Consider the following 27874-nt stretch of genomic DNA (forward strand, 5'->3'; position numbering starts at 1 on the left):
ATGTCCAAAGGCAGGAGGAGAGGACGAGTCTTCCTCTCCCAGTCCACTGGCTCAAATCCAGTCCACTGGCTCAAATGTCAGTTTCCTCTGGCAACACCCTCACAGACACATCCAGAAACAATATTTTATCAGCCATCTAGGCATTCTTCAATCCAGTCAAGTTGACGTCTAATATTCACTGTCACACCTGCCCTAGGCTATTGTTTCCCTGAGGGCAGAGACTATGTTTTGTTCATGACTGCATCACTATCTCCCAGCCTATGCAAAACAAAATAGACAACTAGAAGTATCAAATGAATGACAGATAACAGAATGGATAGATGAACTGGGATTCTGGGGTTCACTCCATCTCTTGTAGTAATATCAAGGAAATGTCATAAAAGACAGAATCTAAACCTTCTTTAAAATCTATATTAGTTAAATGCATTATGCTTCCTTTAATCTATAAGGGCTGCAAAAATCTCTCATATTACCCTCAACCCTTGGGCAGCAATCATTAGTATCTTCAAGATACCACATATATTAGAAATAACACGGGACAAACTCTCTATATGATGAACACATCCTTTTCCTTACCTTTCATTTTCTGTGTCATCTTTGCTTTTTCCCTGCATTCTATGATTTTATGGCAGACTCTCAAGAAAGGCATTAGAGTTGGTTGGGACTGTTACTATATCCCCAGCTCCAGCACCATATCTGATATAGAGTTAGTGCTGAATACATGTTACTCAACGAACTTGCTGCAAGAAGTCTTCACTTTTAAGAGAATATTTCAATTACTTAAAACGATCATAGAAGGGAGGAATATGTACGTACTAACAATCTAATAAGGTTACTCAGAATTGTATACACAAAACTGCTGAAGCTAACAGCATTTATATGCTTAAGTTTTCCAAACAATGAGTTGAAAATATACCCTGAAGAATTGTTTATGCCAAATAAGGCTGACTATTCATGATCATGACTGGAATTGCTGCATGTTTTGTGCCAGCCACTTCATTCCTGCCAAACATCCTCCCAATTTGCAAGGATTCTTGGGTTTCGTTTTGAAAATAAAGCAGTAAAATGCTTCTTAAGCTCAACTTATGTGGGGTCTTATTCTTCATTAGTACTTACTTAAGCTATACTGATTAGAGTAACATCTTAACTCTTTTGAAATGCTTATTTTGATTGACAAAGTGACATGGAATTTCTAAAGTGACAAATTGACCAAGGAGCACAGAAACAAGTCAATAGAATTGTGATGTTAGCTTGAGTTCTGAACACTCAACACTTGGAAAGAACCTCATACCACCTTTTGTGCCAGAGACACCGAGAACCTGAAAGGCTGTCAGTCAGATATTTCTATTAGCTGAAGCAAGAAAACTTCCTCATCCTGGTGGCTCCTAGGCCAAAATTTGCAGGGGAAAAAAAAAAAAAGGAAAAAGAAAAAAGCTGGCAGACCAAAGCCTTACATTGACCAAGGTCTTAAACACAGCAACTAGAGATTATATGCTTGGAAAATAATTTATAACAAACAGCGCAAAAGCACTCCTGATAAGTGAGCCTGCTGAAGACCCTTCAGACTCAGTCCAGACCTAGGTTCTAAACCAGTGAGTCTCCTTATTTGGAAGAACTGCACAAGAGTTTAGCAACCCAGCATTGTACCAATTCTAACAAGACCATTACATCTAAAGCTTTATTAAGCATGTAGACTCTGCAGTCAGAATAAATCCTGCCTCCACCACTTATTACCTGCAAGAGGCTAGGCAAGACATTTAACTCCTCTGTGCCTTGGTTTTCTCATATATTAAATGGGGATAATAATAATACTAACTTCATAGGACTAATGTGAGGATGAAGTTAATTAATTTATGTAAAGCGCTCAGAAGAGCGCCTAGCATATATTCAGTGTTATATACTTGGCAGCTATTATTATGACCCTTTTTCATGATCTATTTCTTGCCTTGGACCCCAGTTCTCATAACTGGGTCTTAATTTTCATGCATGTGTCAATTCCATAGATAGTTAAGGACTGCCTGCTATCCAGCTGACTCTGTCCTTTATAAAATGGCCTTTTTCCCCAGCAAGACCCATATAGGAGCCCTGGCTTTGCCCTTCCAGGGATGAAGTCCCTTCCTTGCTCCTTCTAATTCTTCCAAGCACTAGAATTCTGCCTTTTATTGCTGCCAGACCTGCCTGATGCCCAGTGTCTCTATCACCATCTGCTCCTAATCCCTGATCTCGCCTAACACCAGGGGATTTCTGGCCTGCCTGCTCATCCCAATACCGATCTTTCTGTCTAGTCTTTAACCTCAGCTGCCTGGTCTGGTCTTGATTCTGACAGCACCCTTGAAATTTGTTCAAGCAATGAATAAGTTATTCAAATCCTTTATTTCCCTCCAAGGGAGAACTAGGAAGCCAGACCTTATAAAGCCAAAGGAATTCCTGTTGCCCCCTTACTGCAATAATTTAATCTCTAAGAAACTCAAAAAAGCACTAAGGAAATAACCCTCTAATCATAAACAATCCCTCTCCATCAAGAGAAAACAGACCTCTCCTGCCTGGAATTGCTTAAACAGGAGTCTTCCATTTCACCAGAGCTCCAGGGACAAACCAGCCACCAGCTACCACAATGGGCTGCAAGTTTCAGAAACTTGCAAAGGGGAATTTTTCATCCTGATTATTGCCTTTGCAGTGTTCTCAGCTGCCAGCATGTGATGGAGGGCGTGGGTATGAGCCTGCTTTTGTGTTCTTAAATAAGGCTAAGAGGCTGTTCTCCTTCGCTTCTTAGCCCTAGACACTCATCAATCAACCAGATTTCCTGAGTGCACCTACTATGTGCAGGTCTTTGGAAAGCAAGTCACCTCCTATGTACTTTTTAAATTTTTTTTTTTTTTTTTTTTTTTTTTTTTTTTTTTTTTTTTTTTTTTTTTTTGAGACGGAGTCTCGCTCTGTCGCCCAGGCTGGAGTGCAGTGGCGCGATCTCGGCTCACTGCAAGCTCCGCCTCCCGGGTTCACGCCATTCTCCTGCCTCAGCCTCCCGCGTAGCTGGGACTACAGGCGCCCGCCACCACGCCCGGCTAATTTTTTTGTGTTTTTTAGTAGAGACGGGGTTTCACTGTGTTAGCCAGGATGGTCTCGATCTCCTGACCTCGTGATCCGCCCGCCTCAGCCTCCCAAAGTGCTGGGATTACAGGCGTGAGCCACCGCGCCTGGCCAAATTTTTATTTAAATGTTTCTGCATACAGAGTGGGTTTATATGTGTATAGGGTACATGAGATGTTTTGATACAGGCATGCAATGTGAAATAAACACATCATGGGTAATGGTGTACCCATCCCCTCAAGCATTTATCCTTTGAGTTACAAACAATCCAATTACACTTTTTAAGTTATTAAATATTTTTAAATATACAATTATTGACCATAGTCACCCTATTGTGCTATTAAATACTAGGTCTTATTCATTCTTTCTAATTTTTTTGTACCCACTAACCATCCCCACTTCCCTTCTGTCCCCCTACTAGCCTTCCCAGCCTCTGGTAACCATCCTTCAACTCTATGTCTATGAGTTCAAGTGTTTTGATTTTTAGTCCTTTTGTACTTTAAAAAATATTGGAGGGAAGCTAATAATCAAGGCAAAACAAATAAAGTTCTGATGCTGCCAAAGCAGAAGGGACTTTCCCAAGGTCACAGAGTTCAAAAGGAGCAGATCCAGGATTTAATTACATCACCCTGTGTAATACAGATTGTTTGACACATCTCACTCAGTTCACTGGAACTTGGCCTGTTCCAGCTTAATCTCATGCCCTCTGCAAATCATACTCTTGGCTCCACATCCGTCCAGGTTCCTAGAGAGCAGCCTCTCATTCTGATCTCCAGGCCTTTGCACAGGCTGTTTCCTGTGATTGCCACCCTCCATCCAGCCTCTATTTCTTCACTTGACTGTTTGCTTGCCACCCTTTCATTCTCTGCATTAACCCCACTGCCTCAGAAAGCCGTTTCCAATTCCCCAGTCTGTATTGGCGGCCCTCCTCTTTTCTGCTCTGTGGCTATCCTATCACGGCACTTTCCACACTGCACTGTAATTGCCTGTCCTCACGTTTAATCCCCTAATATGCTGAGAGACCCTCAAGGGCAGGACCCTTGTCTGGTTTCTCTCTGAATCCCCAGGACCATATGTAGGATTTAGAGCACAAACGTGACAGTGAATTTTTGTTAAAGTAAGGTGGACCAAACTCTCTCTTTACCAAGCTGCCTCCCTGACAGGTCAAATCCCAGACTAAAAATAGTAGCTTTGCAACTCCTGGCTAATGGCTCCAGGCAGGCACTTCTGTCCCAGAGCACCTGACCTCTGATCTGTAAAATGTTCTGGGGTAACATGTGTCCTCCCACCTTTGCCTCTTACAGGCTCACTGATCATCACTGTCATTTCCCTGATACCACCCCCATTATGGGAGAAGGAAACTTTCAGTTTTCATCCAATGCAGCTCAAGCATAGGGTAGGCCAGAGTGAGCCTGGAGAGACAAGACAAGAAAAGTAACTCTGCTTCTGCCGTCACTCAGTTAGTTTTTCTTTATTAAAAGGGAACTTTTTATTGAAGCATAACATATACACAGAAAAGTGGGTAAATTGTAAGTCTATAGCTCAAAGCTTCACATTCATGTGAACACGTTCATTTCACCAGCACAAAACTCTTAAAATGACTAGGACTCCAGAAGCCTCCGTTTTGTCCCCATCCAGTCACTACTACATCTTGACTTCTATCATAGATTAATTTGGCCTGTTTTAAAACATTTTATAAAAGGAATTTTACAATATGTACTCTTTTGTATCTGGCTTCTTTTGTTTATAGTATATAGTTAACTTTATAGTTGGTGAGATTCATCCATGTGGTTGCATATCATTTTGGTATATGTTCTTTCTCATAGCTGTATAATATTCCATTGCATGAATCTACCGCTTTTCATTTATCTATCCTATTATGGATGAACATTTGGGTAGTTTCCAGTTTGGGGCTGTAATGAACAGTGCTGCTATATGCTATATCCATTCATGTATATGTCTTTTGATAAATATACATTTGCCTTTCTGTTGGTTAGATACTAGATGTGGAATTGCTGGGTTGTAATGTAAGTGGCTTAGCTTTAATAAATACAGCTAAACAATTTTCCACACCAAAAGAGATCTAATTAATCTACATCCTTGCCCATACTTGATATTGTTGATATGGTTTTGTTTTGTTTTGTTTTTCCACTTTAACTACTGGATGTAGTAGTGATATCACGTTGGGATTTTGATTTGTACTTTTTTGAATTTTGCCTAGTGTGTTGTCATTGACCATTTGGATAACCTGAAGTATTTGTTCAGATGTTTTGATCGTTTTTCTTTTTCTATTATATTCTCTGCCATTTTCTTATTGACTTGTAGTAATTCTTTATATAGTCTAGATAAAAGTCCTTTGTCAATTATATGTATTGCAGACATCTTCTCCCATTCTATGGCTTGCCTTTTTACTTTTCTAATCTTTTGGTAAATAGAGGATTTAATTTAAATGTGGTCCACATTATCTTTTTTTTGTTCATGATTAGCACCTTTTTTGCTCCATTTAAGAAGTTTTTGCCTACCTCAAAGTCGTGAAGATGTTCTCTTGTATTTCCTTCCAAAAGCTTCATAGTTTTTATCTTTCATATCTAGATATTGAACTGATCTGTAATTGAATTTGTGTATGGTGTGAGGTAGGAGTCAATAGTCTTTCTGAATTTTTTTTTACAGGACTATTGATTGAAGTGTCCATCTTTTTCCCACTTCATTACAGCATTACTTTTGTCATACATCAAGTGACTGTACATCTGTGGGTCTGTTTCAGGACTCTTCTGTTCTTCTGTTCCATTGCTGTATTTGTCTGCCCTGCAAATAATACACTGTCTTTATTATGGTTCCTTTACAAAAAGCTTTGATATCTGGGAGTGTTCTCTGATTTTTTTTCTTCTTCAAGATTATTTGGCTATTCTTGGTCATTTGCATTTCTGCATAAATGTTAGAATCATGATCGATTTATATTTTTAAAAAACCTGTTATTGAGACTGTTTTTGAACTCATAGAAAAACGTGGGGAGATTTGACAACTTTACATTATTAAATCTTTCAATCAATGACCATATTATTCCATTTATTTAGTTTTACTCTAAGTTCTCTCAATAATGTTTTATAGCTTTCTGTGGATAAGAAGTCTTGTTCACTTTTTCATGAGATTTATTCCTGGGTATTATATGTTTTATGCTATTGTGAATAATAACTTTTTAAAATTTCATTTTCCAGTTGTTTGTCACTGGTATATAGGAATAAAATTGACTTTTGTATTTTGAATTAATTTTCAGAGACTTTGCTAAATTCACTTATTGCTTCTATTACTTTGTATATAGATTATTTTGGAATTTACGTACACAATAAGTTATGCCAATAATTCCCTTCTAATCTTTATAGCTTCTCTTTTTCCTTCTTGCCTTATTGCACTGGCTATTACCTCTACGATGTTAAATAGAAGTGGCAATAATGGACATTCTTGACTTGTTCCCAATCTCATGGGGAAAGCTTTTAATATCCATCATTAAGTAAGATTATTGCTATGGCTTTTTTGTAAATATTTTTATCACATTAAGAAAGTTTCCTTCTATTATTAGTTTGCTGATATGTTTTCTTATGTGAATGTATATCAAATATAATCAGATACTTTTTCTGTGTTCTATGAACATATTCATGTAATTTTTTCTGTTAATGTGATGAATTGTATTGATTAAATTTTGAATGTTAGACTACCCTTGTATTCTTGGAATAAACCCTACATTGTTATTATATAGCATACTTTTTCTAATTTACTGGATATAGAGTTTGCTAATATTTTGGGGTTGCTACATCTATGGTCATGAAAGAGATTGGGCTTCCATCTTAACTTTTACCTCAATTTTGAGATGGATTTTTTTCTACCTGGGCTGACCCCTCTTTTGTCCTATATATAGACTTAGTTAAATAGACTTTGCTTCTATTATTAGCTTAACAAACTTCACCCAGATCCTCTAGTTTATTTCTTATTGACAGAACAAAAGCTTTCTCAACGACAAACTAGTCATGAGCCAAGTCATGGTCCAACCACTCCCTGGCAGTGTGTCCACTGTCACATTATAGATCCTCCCTGAGCCTGTTTCCTTATCAATGAAATAGCATTGAAAAAGAAGTTAGACAATGCATAATAAAGCACCTGGTACAGGCAGGTGCTCAGTAATTCCCATTTCTCACTACCTCTTCTCTTCTGCTTAAAAACTTTTCAAATACAGAAGAGCATTGGCTTACTTATTTACAGGGCTTAGCCATCAGAGTTAAGATTGAAATCTGAAAAAATGAACTAATGGGGGTGGGAGATGTCCATTCTTTTTGTTATACTCTAAAAAACAAAGCGAAGTTGTTTACTGCTCCTGCTAAGCTTCTTTAAATACAAGCTCCTAGATTTTTAAAATTAGATAAACATTGCTAGAATTTATCATCTGTAGTGCTACAGTTCCTTCCCTGGGGCTTCAAACTCAAGTGTTAGTGGAGTATTACACATTTGGAAGTTGTCCAGGAATATAGCCTCTCTCCCACATTTAACAATGTTTATGTGTAAAAGTCAGCTTGGAAGGACACCTTTAAATAATGCTCTTTCTGGATATATAATTGCAGTGTTACTTGTCAGTGCATAATAAACCATCAACCAGCCTTTATTGTACCAGTGGGAATGAGAGTTTGAGGGTGCCCTGAAATTATGTTCTTTGTGTCTGAGATGAGAATTAGGTTAGTAGCTAGGCTTTATTTATAGATATCCAAATAAATCAGGAGTCAGAAGTTCAGAAAGACTGGGCTGGGAAGGCTGAGTCCAAAGAAGGCTGAAGTCTATGAACACCAAGAGTCAATACCCCTAATGCTATCAAGGACACTGGATAGGTCCCATCCTACTTCTCCCCATTATCTCCACCCCAAGAACTAATCCCGGTGACAGGCATGAGTGACATCAGAATGACCTTCTGACTAAATCTGAACTTGGCTCAAGCTGTGGATCCCCAGTGGAGTAGAAAGGGCAAGGCCTTAAGGTTGGCAGATCAATGGCAAATCTCAGCCCTGCCACCTACTTGCAACTCAGTTCTCTCACCATAACATGGGGATGGTAACTGACCTACCTAGCAAGACAACTGTGAGAATGGAAGGGTATTAGCTGATACCTGTGAAGGACATGATGCAGGGAACATGCTCAATAATAAATGGCAGTGATTGTGATGATAGTGATACTGATGAGGATGAGACAATGACAATGAAGACAACATCTCTAGCTTTGAATAAAGGGGTGGTAGAGGATTACCTATATTATGCTTATGGAAACAGGAGGAGCATCCCTAACTGCCTTTTTTCTAATCCCCACAATTATTTTATGGATCTCTGGGCCCAGACACATGATCTTAGTTGGACAAGCCATGTCTCAATTTGTGTTCTCCTAAAAGCAGGATCTGAGGCAAGGACTGCAGGTACTTCGTGTAGAAGGTGATAGAGGAAGCAGAAGTGAAGGAATAGGGAGAGAGTGACAAGGGAGGAGGAAGGGTCAAGGTAAGAGTGCATTATTCAGGTCACTGGCATCAGCGTACCTCTGAGAGGTGTATAGAATGAGTCCAGAATTGTCCACTTTCCAGAATTTTCTACTAGCACCCACCCCCTATTGACCAAGGGTTGTCTGCAGTAGTGTGAACTTCCCCACACTCCCAGGCACTTGCTTGCTGGCTAAATTGACTCTCAAAGCTTCAGAGAAGGCCATGAGTCAGTCAACAGGAAGAGGCCCTTGAGGTAGACACTCACTGATAGCATTAGCAAGTGCTCACTGCTGCCTGCCATAGTTGTGGCTGAAATTGGAGGTGGATGGAGAGTCTGTGATACAGGGCACCAAATGTAGCTGCTGCAGGCCAAGTCTTAGTTCAAGTGCAGACTCCTCCTGCAAGCTGTCTACTTGCCACATGTGATACACAATTGTGAGAGTCCCCCGTCGTCAGTAGAGTCTTTCCTCTCCCATCCCCTTGTGACAGAAAGGACTACCTGCACAGTTGGTTCTTATATTTAGCAGTACACAAACGTACACCAAATTCTAGAGCTGTACTGTCCAGTACAGTAGCCACTCGATACACTTAAATTGATTAGTTTATTTAAATTAAATAAAATTTAAAATTTATCTCCTCAGTCACACTGGCCACATTTAAGTGCTCAGTGGCCACATATGAGAAGTGGCTACCATATTGGACAGTGAAGTATAGTATACTTCCAACTTCTTGGAAAGTTAAACTGGACAGTGCCACTCTTGAGAGAGTCAGTCTGGATCCTAATCCTGGCTCTACCATATACTAGCTGGGTGGCCCTGGGTGAGTCATTTAATCTGTCTGTGCTTTAATTTGCTAATCTGTAACATGAGTTTATTTCCATGATTAAATAACAATATGTAAGCATATAGTAAAGTCTCACTACATGTTAATGATTATTATTTCCCAATTCCCAGGGTAATATTTATGCAAGGCAGGAAGTACTTAAAGAGCCTCCAACCCTGATTCAGGCCCTGGGTCCCTTGAGGCTACTCTCTGGGCTTCTAAATTATCTCTGTGCTCAATATGGCCATGCCCATATACCTCCCAGTCTCCAAACAGGGATGTTGCTTTAGCCCTCACTGCCTTTTCAGCTTGTCAGTTCCCCACCCTAAGTCCAGAGGCTGGAGCTGGAACAGTCACCCCCAGCTTATGTCAGGAGCCCTACTGCCTGCTTCTGGAAACTTCTGTCTGTGTGCCTGACTCATTCTGTCACCATTTTCCCACCACTTGCCCACCCTCCCAATGGGCCTCTGCACTCCCAATGCTGACTATGACCTGAACTGACCACCTCACTTTAAAATGCTTGCTGTCCTCTAAGACCTTGTCCTACCCTAATGGACAGGTCCTGTGCATGTCCTGGTTTGCTACCAATTTCTATCTTTCCTAGAGAAATAAAATATTAATATTTAAAATAACCATTATTGAATGTTTTCTTGTGTGCCAGGAACTGTGCTAAGGGCTGTAATATGGATTTCCTTCCGTAACCCCATCACAACCATAGAAGATAGGTACTATTATTATTTCCATTTCACAGGTAAGAAAACTGGATCTTAGAGAATTTACATAGTTTGTTCAAGATTGCACAGCAAGTATATGGTGAAAACAAGAATGTGATGAAATCCTTAAGCCAGTAGGAGGTCCTTTTCTTCTTTCAAGACAATTGAAAAGAAGGAGGGACTGATGCATACAACAACATGGATAAATCTCAAATGCATGATGCTAAGAAGTCAGACTCAAAAGGCTACATACTGTGGGAGACCACTTATATCTTGGAAAACTTAAAACTATAGGGACAGAAAACAAACCAGAGGTTGCCAAGGGCTGGGAGTGGTGGTGGGGTTGTTACATGGGAATGTGGGTAGGTAATACAACTATTCATTATCTTGATTATAGTAGTTACTATGTAGTTGCCTGCATTTGTCAAAACTTGCTAGACTTTACATTAAAAGGGGTGAATATTACTGAATTCAAAGCATACTTTTATTTTTAAATGGAAAATAAAGAAGATAGAGAGTAATTTTCCTCTGAATGCCCCCCAGCAATTGTTCAAATGTGGGAATAGAGGGGAACAAACATCAGTTTAAAGATTTGGTGGAGAAAATAAGCTCGGGTTCAGATTGCAAGGAAGATAATTCAAGGAGAGGAAATGGAAGCAGTGGGTTCAGACTGACCTTCCTGAAAAGCCTGGAGGTGCAGGAAAGGCAAAAGATGGGCTTTTGTGAGAACAAAGCATTGATGGAAGATTTTTTTTTCACCCAGAATGAGAAAACTTGAACCTCTTTACTTAAAGGGAGAAGCTCTTCAGTGAAGAAGAGATTAAAGGTGCACCTTACCCACATATTTCCCATTTCCAGCACTCTTTATTCCTTCATGTAGATCTGTATTTCCATCTGTTTTCATTTTCCTTCAGCCTAAAGAACTTCCTTTAATATTTCATATACTGCAGATGTGCTAATAATAAATTCACACAGCTTTCATTTATTTAAAAAAACGTTTTATTTTTACCCTCATTTTTGAAGGATATCTTTGCAAGACACAGAATTCTAGGCTGACAGTTTTTTTTTTTAAGCTTTAAAGTTGTCATTTCATTGTCTTCTAGTTTGCCTTGTTTTTGAAGCAAGTCATCATTCTTATCTTTGTTTCCCTCATTGTGTCTTTTATCGCTTTTTGTTGCTTTGAAGATTTTCTCTTTTTCTCTAGTTATTAGATTATGATGTGCTTAGGCATCATTCTCTTTGTTTTTATTCTGTTTGGGGTTTGTTGATCTGGGATCTATAGGTTGGTATTTTTCTTCAAATTTGGGAGAATTTCAGGCATTGTCTCTTAAAATATTTTTTTTTATTTATTTATTTATTTTGAGATGGAGTCTTGCTCTGTCGCCCAGGCTGGAGTGCAGTGCACGATCTCGGCCCACTGCAAGCTCTACCTCCCAGGTTCATACCATTCTCCTGCCTCAGCCGCCTGAGTAACTGGGACTACAGGCGCCCGCCACCAGGCCTGGCTACTTTTTTGTATTTTTAGTAGAGACAGGGTTTCACCGTGTTAGCCAGGATGGTCTTGATCTCCTGACCTCGTGATCTGCCCGCCTCAGCCTCCCAAAGTGCTGGGATTACAGGCGTGAGCCACTGTGCCCGGCCTGTCTCTTCAAATATTTTTCTAACTCAATCTATCTATTCTCTCCTTCTGGAACTCCAATTACCACTATGTTAAACCACTTGTTTTTATTCCACAGTCATTTATACCCTAGTTCATTTTTTTCAGCCCATTTTTCTCTGTGCTTCATTTTGAATTGTTTTCATCACCCTATCTTTTAGTTCACTGATCTTTTCCTTTGCTGTGTTCAAATACAGATATTATATTTTTCACTTCTGAAATTTCCATCAGAGCTTTTTAAAATAGTTTTTATTTATCTACCAAAATTCCCTATCTGTTCACTCATTATGTCCATCTTTAAATCCTTGAACATATTGATAATAGCTGTTTTAAAGTTCTTGTACGTTAGTTCCACATGTCAGTCATCTCAGGAACTCCTGTTATTGACTGTGGGGCTTTTTCCTGATTTGGGGTTACATTTCCTGCCTTTATACTGCTCTTGTAATTTTTTTTTTTTTTTTTTGAGACAGGATCTCCTTCTGTCACCCAGGCTGGAATAGAGTGGCAATCATAGCTCACTTCAACCTTGAACTCCTGGACCAAGTGATCCTCCCACCTCAGCCTCTGGAGTATCTGTGACTACAGGCAGGCACCACCATGCCCAGCTAGTTTTTAAAAAAATTTTGTAGAGATGAGGCCTCACTATGTTGCCCAGGTTGATCTCAAACTCCTGTGCTCAAGTGATCCTCTCACCTAGGCCTCCCAAAGTGCTGGGATTACAGGCATGAGCACCATGCCCAGCCATGTCTAGAAATTTTTTATTGCATGATGGACATTGTAAATACTACATTGTTGAGTGTCTGGATTTTTTATCTTCCTTTAAAGAGTATGACAAATGGTTAATTTACTGATGGATCTGCTTCATTCCTTTCCCAGGCCTGTTTTCTAAGCTGTGTTGGGGTAAGTCTAGAGTAGCCTTTACTCTAGGGCTAATGTAGTTTTGCTACTAAATTGTAGCCTTTCTAGGGTTTCAGTTGAACATATAGTGTTCAGCAAGTTCTCTCTAACATGGATGGGTAGATATTTTATATCTCTAGCATTGTGTGACCTCTAGAATCTCTATTCAGCTCTTAGCTCCCCAGGGGCTGTTCTCTGCCAGGCCTTGTAAAGTGTCACCCTGCACAAGTGAAGCTTAGTGTTTGGTCAAAGATTTAAGGGGACTTCTATGCATATTCTGAAGTTCCATCTCCATGCAGCTTCCTCCTCTCTGGCATTCTAGCCCATAAATCCTATCTACTTTAATTGCCCCAAATTCTTACCTCTACCTCCTCAGCTCAGACAGTTTACCATGGTCAGTTCTACTCCACCTTCCTGCACCACAAACAAGAAAGTGTCTGTGGCAGAAAGCCTGGGCAAACACGGGCTCATCTCTTGTGTTTCCCTTCTGTCAGTGATCATAGTCCTTTGCGGTCTGTTTTCCAACATCCGAAAACTGGTGCTTAATATATTTTGCCCACTTATAGTTATTTATGTCCAGAGGGCTAATGCAGTGCCACTTACTTAATCAGAGTCAGAAGCAGAAGTCAAGTGAGCATATGCAGATCTGGGAGTTGTCTATAGACAGGACTATCTTATTCTCTTCTCTGCTTCACATTGCCTTAAAGATAAAATGTTTCTATTAAGACAGTCATATCCTATCATGATCTGCCTGGCTGACTGATCTCATCACTGATCATCCAGTCTTTATACACACACACTCACACACACACACACACGCACACACTACCATGACCTACTCGTAGTCTTACACATATCTCTAGCTTTTTCTTATGCCTCTGCTTTTGCATCTATTATTTTGTCTACAAAAATAACCTTCCCCCAACTCCCTACCTGCCTTCCTAACTGCTACTTATCCTTCAGAATTTAGCTCACCTGCCATCTCCTCCAGGACACCTCCTCTGGAACCATCTGGGTTAAGTGCCCCCTTATTTGTGCTGTGACATTCTGTGTTTGCCTTTATCAAAGTTGTATCACCCACGCTTTATTGTAATTGCCTGTTATGACCTATCTTCCATGCCCTTCACACCCCACCCTCCAGACAGAACATCTCTAAGACCGGGATCAAGTCTGAGTCATCTCAGTGTCTCTATGACCTGGCACAGGTTTTGAAACTTTTTGTATGAAGGGCCAAACAGTAAATATTTTAGAGATTGTAGGCCAGACATCTTCAGCTGTAACTACTCAACTCTGCCGTTGTAGCATGAAAGTGGCCATAAACAATAGATAATACATAAAATATAAGACTTTATTGAAATAGAAACAGGCAACTGTAGCTTACTGATCCTTGGACTAGCACATAGTATAATCCCAGTAAATATTCATTGAATGAATTAATAAAATATTATTATTGGAGGCCTCAGAAGAAATAGAAAATAATGTAATCAATTTTATAAGTGCAAGAGTTTTCCTGGGAACGGAAAAGTGGCACTTTCCTTGAGGCCCTAGGGAAGGAAAAAAAGACAGTGGAGTGAAGAAGGCAGGATAATAGAAAACTGGGGGATTTCTGGCCTAAATGACAGACTTCCCCATGCATGGCTTTTGCCAGGAGGCCATTCTGGGATGGGAACCTGAAAACCAGAATGGTCTGGTCAGAGTGAGTTCCCAAGGCAGCCAAGAACAGAGAATGCCAAAGGACAAGTACAAGCTGTGTCCTGGGCAGCACCCAGGCGCAAACCCGCAGAAGGCATGTTTTGCAGCCAAATTCAAAGTGTCAGAAACCAGGCAGGTTCTAGAACTGCATCTAGCATGAAAATAACAAGGGCAAGAGGGATGTGAGATCCAAAACAACTTTTATGAATACAACTGGCAGGTCCACAATACTTTTCTGTTGGTCACTGGCCACATTGTGCATGGATGAGTCTGTAGATGGGTTAACCTTGGCTTTTTCAGAAGAGTTAAGTGACCAGTTCATCTACTAAGAAATAAAAGGAGGAGGGGAGCCTAGAACTTAGAGGCTGGAGGAGATCTGTCATATATAACTACTATAGCAGATTCCATAAGGGCCCAATCAGGGCTCAAAACAAAGATTTGCTGAAAAGTACTATGGGTGAGGCTGAGGTTAGACAACAGAAGGTTGCAGCAATCTAATCACTAAGGTTGTAGGACATTCTGTAGAGAAGCATTATGAATGAGTATCAAGGAAATGAATAGGTGGCTTGCTGCAGAATTGGGATTGGCAGGGGAATGCAGCCACTGGCCAGGAGATCCAGATAGTCACTGAATACCTGTTGTATTAGTCAGGGTTCTCCTAAGAAATAAAATCAATAGGGTATGTGGCGGGGCAGGGCGGTGGTGAAGAGATTTATAAGGATGTGGCTAACCTGAGTACAGAGGCTGAGAAGTCCCAAGACAATGCAGTTAGCAAGCTGGAGTCCTAGGGGAACCAATGGTATAGTTCCAGTCTCAGTGTGAAGGCCTGGGAACCAGGATTGTTGATGGTTCAGTTCCAGTCCTAAGGCCAGTAGGCTGAAGACCCAGGAAAAGCCAGTGTTTTAGTTTAAGTCCAAAGGCAGGGGGAAAAAAGCAAGGTTCCAGCTTAAAGGCAGTTAGGCAGAAGGCATTTCCTCTTCCTCCAGGGAGAGTCTGCCTTTTATGTTCTATTCAGGTCTTCAGCTGACTAGATAGGGCCCACCCACAATAGGGAGAGCAGTCTGTTTTACTCTACCAATTCAAATATTCATCCAGAACACCCTCATAGACATAACTACTTTGATCAAATGTCTGCCCTCCCCATAGCCCAGTCAGGTTGACATATAAAATTAACCATCACTCTGCCATGTGCAGAACACCTCAGAGAATCTATCTACCATGCACCCTGTCTCCTTCAACACTAGATAAAATATCAGACAGAATTATTTGATTAGCACTGGTGTTTTAAGCATCATTGTGAATGCTGGCAATTTAGTACCAATGATGACAGCAGAAAGGATGTTAGGAAAGAGGTTACTACACATATACTCAAAATTATCTCCCTGGAGTAGCTTTTTAGACAAATGCACCTGGTTGGCCATCAGTATCTCAAACTTACATGTCTAATTATTTCTTCCTCCCAGCTTCCCCCCACCTCTGGGCCTCATCTAAGCTATTGGGAATAAATAAATAAACCCAGAGAGGCTACTTGAACTCTGCTGGAACCAGTGAGGGACATGCAAAATCAAAAAGCCATGTCCTTACCTGAAAGCCAAAAAGGATAGTGATAGTCTGCCGCTTCCCCCTAGGTCTGAGTTCCCAGTGTTTCACCAAAGACTCCAGAGGCTCTGAGTTTTCCTTTAAGGCCACAAGCTTTAACCTCGTCTCCTTTTTCCCAGCCCTCCTGATACCTGAGTCTTTTCTCTCTCCTCCTCTATTTACTAGAGGATGTGGGGCCCAGGTGTAAACTTTCTCGTGTCCCAGCTAACTGAGATCTGCTTAACCACCTCATTCTGCAGGCCCCAGATCAGAGTCCCATTTAGATGATTCCTTGACTCCTTTTTTCAGATTCAGATCCTTGCATGTGACATTCCTGTCATCTCCACACCCCTCCCCAATCACCCAATCAGATTCTCTTTGGTTACCATGCCTTACAGAAATGTGTCTGCATTTTCCCTGCTCTATTTAGATTTAATTTTACTAGCTAATATTTATTGACCCTATTTTATGCGCCAGCCACTAGTCACTATTTCATGGACTTCAGCCTTGGAACAACACTAGGAGGCTGATCATATTACTATCCCTATTTTACAGATGAAGAAACTGAGATTGAGAGTGACTAACTGATGTGTTTAATGTAGAAAGTTTCAGAACCAAGACTAGAATATACATAGATCTGACCTCCGAAAAAAAAAAAAAAACCCAGTTTTAACTACTTTACCAAAATGCCTCCCAAGGACTGTTCAGTCTTCTGTCTTATTGTCTCACACTCCTGGCCCCTTGTCCCCATTCCCCCTACCACTGCCCTAAGTCAGACACTGCATGATTCATGAAGGGAATGTCAAAGGGCCTTCTATTTGGTCTCCTCACCTTCAGACCCTCTCCCTTCCTATCCCTGGGTATGTCCTACCAAAGGTATGGTACCATGCAGCAGAGAAGAGCTGGTCTTTGGCTCTTTGACTCAACTTTGAATCCCAGTGTCATAACTCGCCTGCCTCTGCATTTTTGGGTTAACTGAATGAGAATAGCATCTGTATTAACAGTTTTCTTTTTGAGCGTTTAATGAGATAACATAGGTCGAGACCTTGGCATTGTGCCTGACACATAGTAAAGTCTCGTGTATTAGTCCATTTTCACATGATATAAAGAACTACCTGAGACTCTAATGTAAAAAGAGGTGTAATTGACTCACAGTTCCGCATGGCTGGGGAGGCCTCAGGAAACTTACAGTCATGGCAGAAGGTGAAAGACAAGCAAGCACCTTCTTCACAAGGTGGCAGGAGAGAGCAAGAGTAAAGGGGAAACTGCCACACACTTTTAAGCTATCATATATAATAAGAACTCACTATCATGAGAACAGCATAAGGGATATCACCCCCATGATCCAATCACCTCTCACCAGGTCCCTCCCTCGACATGTGGGAATTACAACTTGAGATGAGATTTGGGTGGAGACACAGAGCCAAACCATATCATTCTGTCTCTGGACCCTCCCAAATCTCATGTCTTTCTCACATTTCAAAACACAATCATGCCTTCCCAACAGTCCCCCAAAGTCTCAACTCATTCCAGCACTAACTCAAAAGTCCAAGTCCAAAGTCTCATCTGAGACAAGGGAAGTCCCTTCTGCCTATAAGCCTGTAAAATCAAGAGCAAATTAGTTACTTCCAAGGTAAAATGAGGATACAGGAATTGGGTAGATGCTCCCATTCCAAATGGGAGAAATTGGCCAAAACAAAGGGGCTATAGGCCCCATGCAAATCCAAAACCCAAGGCAGTCATTAAATCTTAAAGCTCCAAAATAATCTCCTTTGACTCTGTGTCTCATATCCAGGCCACGTCGATGTAAGAGGTGGGCTCCCGAGGCCTTGGGCAGCTCCACCCCTGAGGCTCTGCAGGGTACAGCCCCCGCGGATGCTTTCACAAACTGGTGTTGACTGCCCATAGCTTTTCCAGGTACACAGTGCAAGCTGTCAGTGAATCTACCATTCAGGGGTCTGAAGGATGATGACCCTCTTCTCATACCTCCACTAGACAGTGTCCCAGTGGGGACTCTGTGTGGTGAGTCTTCAGCCCCACATTTCCCCTCTGCATGGCCCTACTAGAGGTTCTCCATGAGGGCTCTGCCCCTGCAGCAGGCTTCTGCCTGGACATCCAGGCATTTCCATACATCCTCTGAAATCTAGGCAGAGGTCCCCAAACCTCAATTCTTGCCATCTGTGTACCCACAGACCCCCAACACCACGTAGAAGCAGCCAAGGCTTGGGGCTTGCACCCTCTAAAGCAATGGCTCGAGCTGTACCTTGGCACCTTTTAGCCATGGCTGGAGCTTGAGCAGCTGGGACAGAAGGCACCATGTCCCAAGGCTGCACAGACCAGCAGGGCCTTGGGCCTGGCCCAGAAAACCATTTTCCCTCCTTGGTCTCCCAGCCTGTGATAGCAGGGGCTGCTGTGAAGATCTCTGAAATGCCCTTGGAGACATTTTCCCCATTGTCTTGACTATTAACATTTGGCTTTTTACTTATGCAAATTTCTCTTGAATTTCTCCCCAGAAAATGTTTTTTTTTTCTTACCACATAGGCTGCAAATTTTCCAAACTTTTATGCCCTGCTTCCCTTTTAAACATAAGTTCCAATTTCAGACCATCTCTTTGTGAATGCATATGACTATATGCTTTTAGAATCAACCAGGTCAAATCTTAAATGCTTTGCTACTTAGAAATTTCTGCTGCTAGATACCATAAATCCTCTCTTTCAAGTTGAAAGTTCCACAGATCTCTAGAGCAGAAGAAAAATGCTGCCGCTCCCTTTGCTAAAGTGTAGCAAATGTAACGTTTACTCCCGTTCCCAAGAAGTTTCTTACTTTTATCTGAGACCACTTCAACCTGGACTTCATTGTCCATATCACTATCAGGATTTTGGTCAAATTCACTCAACAAATCTCCAGGAAGTTCCAATCTATCCCACATCTTCCTGTCTTCTTGTGAGCCCTCCAAACTGCTCCAACCTCTGCCTGTTACCTGCTTCCAAAGTTGCTTCCACATTTTCAGGTATCTTTATAGCAGTGCCCCACTTTGGGTACCAATTTTCTATATTAGTCCATTTTCACACTGCTATAAAGAACTACCTGCGACTCGGTAATTTATAAATAAAAGAAGTTTAATTGACTAACAGTTCGACATGGCTGGGGAGGCCTCAGGAAACTTACAATCATGGCAGAAGGTGAAGGAGAAGCAGGCGCCTTCTTCACAAGGCAGCAGGAGACAGCAAGAATGAAGGGGGTACTGCCACACACTTTCAAACCATCAGATCTCATGAGAACTCACTCACTATCATGAGAACAGCATAAGGGAAACTGCTTTCATGACCTCCCACCAAATCTCTCCTGTGACATGTGGGAATTACAACTCGGGATGAAATTCAGGTCAATAGTCAATAGTCAAATAGTCAATCATCAAATAGTCAATCCTCACTATAACCTTATCCTCATGTTACATATGAAGAAACTGAGGCCCAGAGAGCTTAAGGAATCAGCCCAAGCTCACAGAGCAAGGAAGGAGCAAAACTGAGGTTCAAGCCCAGGTCTGCCTGACTCCAGAACACATGTTCATCTCCCTACATCCCACTGTGAGGTCATGATACAGAAGAGATGATTGGATGGACTCTGGAAACAAAGAAATTAGATGAAAAAGAATTTCAGGGCTAGGTTGTGGTGGGTGCTGAGTGCCCTTGGTGGTAAATGGCATTGGAAAAGGGGGAAACATGATCAAAAGTTCCTCCTGCGAAGAATGACATAACAATAGTTAACATGTATTAGGCTGATATGGTTTGTCTCTGTGTTGTGTTTGTTCTCAAACCCCCTTATACCAGTTATTCTGACATTGTGCTTACATAATTTAGTTAAATCTTTTGAAATTGATGAGATATGAGTGAGAAAAGGAAGGCATTTTTTATGGCTGCTCTGAAAGGACTCAACAGAGGCAAGTTGTCAAAACTATTGTCAAATAGTTTAAATTAAATCAGATAAGTGTACCTTCAATCAGAAATATAAATCATGCCAATAATTTATCACCCCTGATTTCCAGTTTAGGCTTCTTGAAAATGAATCTGTACTTAAAGATACTTGCAGAACCTTCTGAGTATAGAACTCCTGAGTTTTACAACTTTTCCCAATCTTTTACAGATATCTTGCTCTCACCTAATTATATATTATTTTCAGCAACTTGCCTCTGTTGAGTCCTTTCAGAGCAGTCATAAAAAATGCCTTCCTTTTCTCACTCATATCTCATCAATTTCAAAAGATTTAACTAAATTATGTAAGCACAGTGTCAGAATAACTGGTATAAGGAGGTTTGAGAACAAACACAACACAGAGCCAAACCATATCAGCTTAATACATGTTAACTATTGTTATGTCATTCTTCGCAGGAGGAACTTTTGATCATGTTTCCCCCTTTTCCAATGCCATTTACCACCATCGGCACTCAGCACCCACCACAACCTAGCCCTGAAGTTCTTTTTCATCTAATTTCTTTGTTTCTAGAGTCCATCCAATCGTCTCTTCTGTATCATGACCTCACAGTGGGATGTAGGGAGATGAACGTGTGTTCTGGAGTCAGGCAGACCTGGGCTTGAACCTCAGTTTTGCTCCTTCCTTGCTCTGTGAGCTTGGGCTGATTCCTTAAGCTCTCTGGGCCTCAGTTTCTTCGTATGTAACATGAGGATAAGGTTATGGTGAGGATTACACATAGGAGATCATCATCCTAACACCTATTAGATGTTTGAGCCTAGCATCTGTATTGTTCATTGAATCCCTGCTCCGACTAGCCTGCCAGTCCTGCGCCCGGCAAACTATCCCCTTTTCTATCTATTTCTTTACATCTCTAGGCACCCTCCTTCCAACTGGAAAGTTCCCTTGCTCCACCACCTTCTTTTGGATTGGTGCTTCATATCTGTAATAATACTGAGAGCTTTGTTTTGTACAACTCTTTACAGCTTTCACAATTCTTTCGAAAACTATCTCAATTAATTTGTACAACTCTGGGAGATTCTCCAGCTTGGTAATTATTATTTCTATTTCTTAAAGGGAAACTGAGGCTCTGAGAGATTGAATGACTGGTTTGTGGTTATAAATGGGGCCTGGAGCCAGAGTCTTCTGGCTCCTGGTCACCATGCCTTTCTTCCCTGCACCATTTTGCACCTGAATGACTGCTGCTCACCTGACATCAATACCCTTTGTAATGTTGCAAATTGTTTTTCCATAGGTGCCTGTCTTGTCCCCCGAGGGCAGCGACATAGTCTTATTCCTTCCCCCTGGCCAAGTGCCTTACAAATATCTGTTATTTGGTTGATGTCATTAAATGTGTTAAAAATTTGAATTAGGTCGGGCGCAGTGGCTCACGCCTGTAATCCCAACACTGTGGGAGGCCAAGGCGGGCAAATCACAAGGTCAGGAGTTTGAGACCAGCCTGGCCAACATGGTGAAACCCCGTCTCTACTAACAATACAAAAAATTAGCTGGGCGTGGTGGCGGACGCCTGTAATCCCAGCTACTAGGGAGGCTGAGGCAAGAGAATCGCTTGAACCTGGGAGGCAGAGGTTGCAGTGAGCTGAGATTCTGCCACTACACTCTAGCCCAGGCAACAGTACAAGACTCCGTCTCAAAAAAAAAAAAATTGAATTAATATGTTATGTTGTAAGGCCATTGTAGGAAACTAACAGCTGTATTGGCTAGGAGGTTGAACTTGTGTAATTAAATTTTATTTAAGAGAGAGAACCATAAAGATAGGTCCCACGCTTGAGGTGCCTGTTTCTCTGCACTCGTGCCTTTGGACTTTGATTCCTTGGATCTGGGGAATTTGGAGTTAGCTGCTCCATCCTCTGTGCTCTGCATTCTTGTGCTATAAAAAACCCTGACCACAGTGGATTGTAATTAATCCGCTTATCCATCTGTTTCCCCTGCCCCCAGACTGTGAGTCCCTTCAGGGCAACACCATATCCAGTCCTCCTCAGTGTCCAGGGCCCGCCACTGTGCTTGGCACATAATGGAAGTTACAAGAATAAGCCAGAAAACTCCATCTGGGTCCCTCCCCTAATCCCCTAGGATTGTACATGTTCCCATTATCTTATCATACATATTTCTTATCTCTTATACTGAATTAAAGGCAAGTTTCATGTTTTACTCAGTTTTGTAGCCTCCCTACCAACCATGAAAGGAAGAAACTATAATTATTGACTGTCTATTGTGTGCCAGTAGTGATTTCAATATATTATCTCACTTTTAAATAATTTAATTTAATTCTCATAATAGGTTGATAAGGTAGGCATTATCATCCCTGAATTACAAACGAGGGAACTGAGACTCAGGGAAATAAAGTAATTGAATTTAACCAAGTTTACAAAGCCAGTAAGTGGTAATGCTAGGATTTCAGTCCCTGTCTGCTGGCTCTAAGACCAATGCCTTTCTTTTTTGTTGTTGCTTTTTGTTTTTTAACAGCACATAGGATACTGCCTTAGCCTAGCAGGTGTCAGGAACTCTGCTGAAATAAGACTTGAATTTAATCACGGTGAATCAAATCTGTGCAAGCCTGTTCCCAACTATGTCAAGTGCATATACTGCTGCCCTCCCATTTGATTGTTTGGATGAAATGCTTCTGGAAACATATACTGAGCACTAACAACACACTAGGCACAGCACTAGGTGTTGGGCTGAAGTCAGGCTCCCTCAAGAAACGTTCAGCCTAGTGAGATAACAGACTGTAAGAGTGATAATAAATGTGATTTGTGCTATGGCAAGACAGAAGACAAAAGTTTAGGTTGGCTTGTGGTGGTCTTGAGTAACTTCTGAGTATTTTATAAAGGAGGAATGGGAGTTGGCTAAGCCAAACAAGAGGAGAGTACAGAGCAAAGAGCATATGGTAATTCTGCACTAAGGTACAGAATTGCAGGCAGGACACGCCTAGAACAAGGAGTATTTTGGTGGAGAAGGGCAGGGAGAGCAAGAGTTTCTGAAGCTGCTTCACTCTGTGTCCACATCACGAACCTAAGGCCATTACTGGTTACCAGCCATTGCCCCTACACAAGTGTACTTTGGCTTTGATGACGGCTAGGACTCTTCACCCAGGAAATGAGTTAGAGAAACGGCTGGCAGCATCTCTATCTGTCTACTCTAGGGATATGAGAGATGAAGGATAAACATGGGGTCTGCATTTTCCCGATGTGTAGGAAATAATGAACAAGCAATTGGGCAAACCCGCATGGTGATGTCCTCTGCCTGGGGTGGGCCGTGGCTGCCCTCAGCAGGCCAGGAAGGTGCGGCCTGGCTTTACACCTATGTTCTTGATGTGGCCCTGGAGCAGAGGGCCATGGGGAAGCGATGTGAGCTGTAAACAGAACCAGGCCATGTTCAGAACCACTTTCTTTCTTTCTTTTTTTTTTTTTTCTTTTTTCAAGAGTGTTTATTAAAATAGGCAGTAATGGGGTGAAGAGTTCTGCCCACTCTGGGCCACAGGATGGGAAACTGAAAATGTTAGTTGGGTTCACCCAGTTCAAGTTTTCCTCTTTGATATGCCTGAAAATGTTATTTAACTTGAGACTTTGTTTAACCAACCAAAGAATGGCTGAGAATTGAGCCAACTGTGTGATGAACTAATTATATGTAACTTAGTCAATAATAAATGTATATGCATCTGTATTCATCACATGTAAAAAACAAATCCAGTAAGGTGCTGATACTATCAGTTCCTTCTTCCTCCAGGACTTAAATAAAATCCTCAAGTCAAGTTCTGTCTTGCTCCAGCCCAGATCTTACTCTGTTTTCCCATGCTGTTGTGTTGTGCATTAATTCCCTCCCACATCCCACTGCAGCCACCATCCCATGTGATCTTCACCAAACCACTGTGGACTGGTCACTTCCACATATCCAAACTGTCCATCACATCCTTTAAATATAGCTAACCTGCCTGCCCCTTGTACTGAAATGTACATAGAAGTCAGCTGAAATCAACCATGTTTACTTCTAAGGCTGGTCCCCACACATTTCTTTTATCTTTTGCTCCTTGCTTACCTCTCCAGCTCTCCACTCCAACTGTGCTCTCTCCAATGCATTCTTCACACTGCTGTCTGGATGATTTATCTAAAATTCAAATGCAATTATATCACTCCTCTGCCAGAACCCTTCAGTGGTTCTCAGATCCTTTCAAATGACATCCAAACTCCTGAAGCATTTAGAGCAAGGCCATTCATGAGCCAGCTTCTTCCTACCTCCCTGGCATCATCTCCTAACTTTCCCCTTGACAGTTTGTGACACAGCAATGCTGAATTAGTTATGACTCTCCAAACACACAATGTTATTTAATGTTTCTGAGTCTGGTCTATGGCTATACCACCCTGAATGCACCCAATCTTGTCTGATCTCAGAAGCTAAGCAGGGTCAAGCCTGGTTAGCACTTGGATGGGAGTCTGCCAGAACAGTCCTTTCTACTCTATTTTGCCTTACAAATATGATCAGCCTTTAACGTTCTCTCAACTATCCCCTTCTCTGAGACCTTCCTAGACAGAACGCATCTCTGGGCTGCCTCTGCGTCTTGTTCAACATCTGCTGTTGACCTGTCTGTACATTCCCAAGACCTATTTGCTTATAGGAACTCAGTCTTATCACTGAATGGCACAGGGCCTAAGACAGAATAGGTGCTTAGTCAGTGCTCTTTGAATCGATGTCCAATTACGCATCCTCCCCATCATTTAAGGGACTCGTGTTTCAGCCACAGCCATGCTGATAACTGCCTCCTGATTGGCTTTCCCAGGTCGGGCCAACCACTGGTCTGCGATCATCGGAGGATCCCACTCCAAGAATTATGTACTGTGGGAATATGGAGGATATGCCAGCGAAGGCGTCAAACAAGTTGCAGAATTGGGCTCACCCGTGAAAATGGAGGAAGAAATTCGACAACAGGTAAGACAAAAAAATCACAGAATGACCAAATAACAGAAATGCAGTCAAAGCACTCCTTAGATATCTTTCCCAGGGGCTTGAAATTTGCAGTACAATGTGGTGGAAGAAAATCTATTTGCTGAGTTTGGGGGTTTTATGTTAAGTAGAGGACAGACAGAGGCACAAATATCCATTTTGTTGTCTCAGATTGTCCCTGACTGCATTCATGTTTTCTTCAGCCTGTGCTAAATGCTGCTGCTGTGGCCATATTGTTGGGATGCCTTGTCTCTAGTCTCCTGAGAGTCAAAGCCATGAATTAAGGTTTTCTTACTGTGATCTTTGAGAGGGTCAGAGGAGTAATAGTCAAGCTGTCCAGCCAAATCCCCAAAATAAATGTTTGAGTATTGGCACGTGCTTTTTGCAACTATGTCTTGAGGTACTTGATAAATTAGTCGTTCGTTCATCATAATCATTATGGACTGAGGCATCTTCTGTGTCCTATGCTGTGTGGGCCCAGGAGCAGTCCCACTCTCTAGGCCTTCACTGATACCTCTGTGAGATAAGGGAGAAAAAGTCCATAATTCTTATCAATTCATTTGGCTGACAGTGCCATCGTCCTTCATCAAAAGCCTAATCAGGTTGACACCAGAGAGAGGCTAATGAGAGAACCTTGGAAGAAGAGCCACGTGGCTCAGTGGTGGTTTGCTGCAAGACATGGCAGTGCAGCTTTAGCCATCACTACCCACAAAAGCCTGTCCAGCCTGAGAGAGCACATGGCAGCATGTCCCACTGCCCACCAAGTGCTCTGGAGGAAGTAAGGAAAGAGCAAAGCATGCTTGGGATGTGATCATTTTACAACACAGGTCACTGAGAGGCTGTTGCCCTCCCTGTGCTCCTGTCCCACATCTCCTGAAACAATGCAGGAGGCTAAGAAAACACCAGGGACCCCATCTCACAGTCTGCATGTGCCCAGAGGCCTGAGCAGCACAGCAGGGCAAGCACAGCTGAGGCCCGCAGTGTTCCCCACCATCTGGACTCCAAGCTGCCCACAGACCCTAAATTGGAGGCAACAAAGGTCACTCTGACTCCTGCTATAAATCCCCTGAGGAATCAGTTTGGACTAGAGTCGAAAAATGCCCCAGAATGAGCTTATGTTTCTTATTAATTTGATTTGAAGTCTTTCCTCCTTTCTTGGAAAAAAAGATGTTTGACCAGATGTTTTAAGAGTGCATGCTATTCATCCAAGATGAGCTATCTAACTATGCTCTGTTTCTCTGACTCTGGCTGCCATGCCTCATAATTGGCATCACTCCTTCAGACTATGGCAAAGTCATGCAGGGCTCTATATTGGTGCTAGTCTGTCTGGCCTATCATGGGGGAACCATTGTTTGGGATCCTGGAGGTTCACATTCCCAGTTCTCAAGTATGGAATTATGCCTCCCTGATTTGTCAAGCTCCATGGTGTGGAATCTTGAAAACCTTTTGTTACAAATAGTAGTTGAAATACTAAAGTTTGCCAGTTAATTACATCAGGGTCAAGGGCATCTTCATAATAATGTCAGTCTCACTTGTTGGCTTTCTTGAGAGGTTTCTGGAAAAGAAAGAATCCTGCAGGAATCATACATAACTGGAACTATATTGTGCTGGTGAACATTATCTGACATGTCATAGCAATAAAAAGATTGAAAACTCATGGATGGGACCCCCCACCACCACCACTGCCAGCCTCAGAATCCCTCTTAGGAAAAAGTTCTTTGGTATGTTCCTAATCAGCATGGCTGTGATTGGCTTGTATTACCACACAGGCAATGTCTGTCTGCCTATCCCAGCTGGCTAGTGTTTCAGACAAACAGTCGTAATAATAAGTTTAATTATGGGTACCGCACATGGGAATGAACATATCTCAGTGCCTGTCACCACCTTTCAGGCCCCCTGGGTGCTGGATATCTACTTTTCGCCCCCCTCACATCTAGGCTGAGGATGCTATTATTATCCCAGTTTTACAGATAAGGAAACCAAGGCATGGTCAACAGCAGAGAATACCAGGACTTAAACCTAAGTCTGTCTGGCTCCAAAGCCCAGACAGTACTAGACATATAATCTGCTCCGTGTAAACCTGAGGCCACTTGTTTGAAACTTGTTGAGAATCTCAAGATGGCAGTACCGTGAATTTCATAGCATGGGGTCCTGTGAGCCTGCATGGGTCACCTGCCCCTGAAGCCAGGCCTACCTGTATAATTTCCCTGTCCCACACAGCTGCCCCACAGAGAAATTCCTCTTGCCAGCCTCTGAATCTGGCCTCTGCTAACAGTGCCTCAGGTTCCCCAGCTCCTGGGAAAGTCAGTTGGATAGGGTGATTTCAGGATTCCAAATAACTCATCTTTCTAAATATTGTTCCCCGCAAGCACACAATTGATTTATTTTTTTGTAAGTCAGGTAAGAAACAACATTAAAATAAGCAAGAATATGAATCCTCCTAGAATACAAAAGTGTCCTCTGAATAACCAGAAACTTGTTTGAAAACATCTGCAAACTAACACAGTGTTCTCGGGCTTTAATACTTTATATCCTACCAATCACTTTGTCAAAGAACCTGAGTCCAGCCATGATGAAAATAAAAAGCCCTCTTTTCTCAAGAAAGACATTTATATGCTTACCAGCATTCTCTTATTATAAACTTACGGCTCACTGCAAGTTTCAAGGGCATGAAGAATCACAATAGATATTCTTGGAGGTAAATTTTATGCTAATGGCTTTCAAGCACAAATGAACAAAAATACTAATCCTATTAATAGTGGAAGTATTAATAATAATAACAGTATATTAATAATAATACTGTTGAGTATAAATTTTAATGTTACTATAACTGCAAAACACCAAGAAAATTAATGAAAAATTACAGCAGAATTATTGGCAGTAGTGACACTAGTGGCTGGGGCTGGGGAAGGCCACAATGCTCACCCTTTCGTGGAAGGACAAAGGCAAATGTGTCCTGGTGGCCAGGACACCTGGGGACTGGGAATTAGAAAT

At 41.7% G+C, this 27874-nt stretch overlaps 1 protein-coding gene and 1 pseudogene across 1 annotated transcript in view; both read left to right on the plus strand.

Moving 5' to 3' along the window:
- The window catches only part of SPON1 (spondin 1), a 305411-nt gene that overhangs the window by 147981 nt on the left and 129556 nt on the right, over positions 1-27874 (plus strand). The window contains exon 6 of the mRNA NM_006108.4: positions 24717-24865. Coding sequence (NP_006099.2) covers positions 24717-24865 — 149 coding nt within the window. The remainder of the gene's footprint in view (positions 1-24716; positions 24866-27874) is intronic.
- Positions 24283-24397, plus strand: RNA5SP332 (RNA, 5S ribosomal pseudogene 332; annotated as a pseudogene).

The sequence above is a fragment of the Homo sapiens genome, chromosome 11 (genome assembly GCF_000001405.40).
Source record: "Homo sapiens chromosome 11, GRCh38.p14 Primary Assembly".
Classification (NCBI taxonomy): domain Eukaryota; kingdom Metazoa; phylum Chordata; class Mammalia; order Primates; family Hominidae; genus Homo; species Homo sapiens.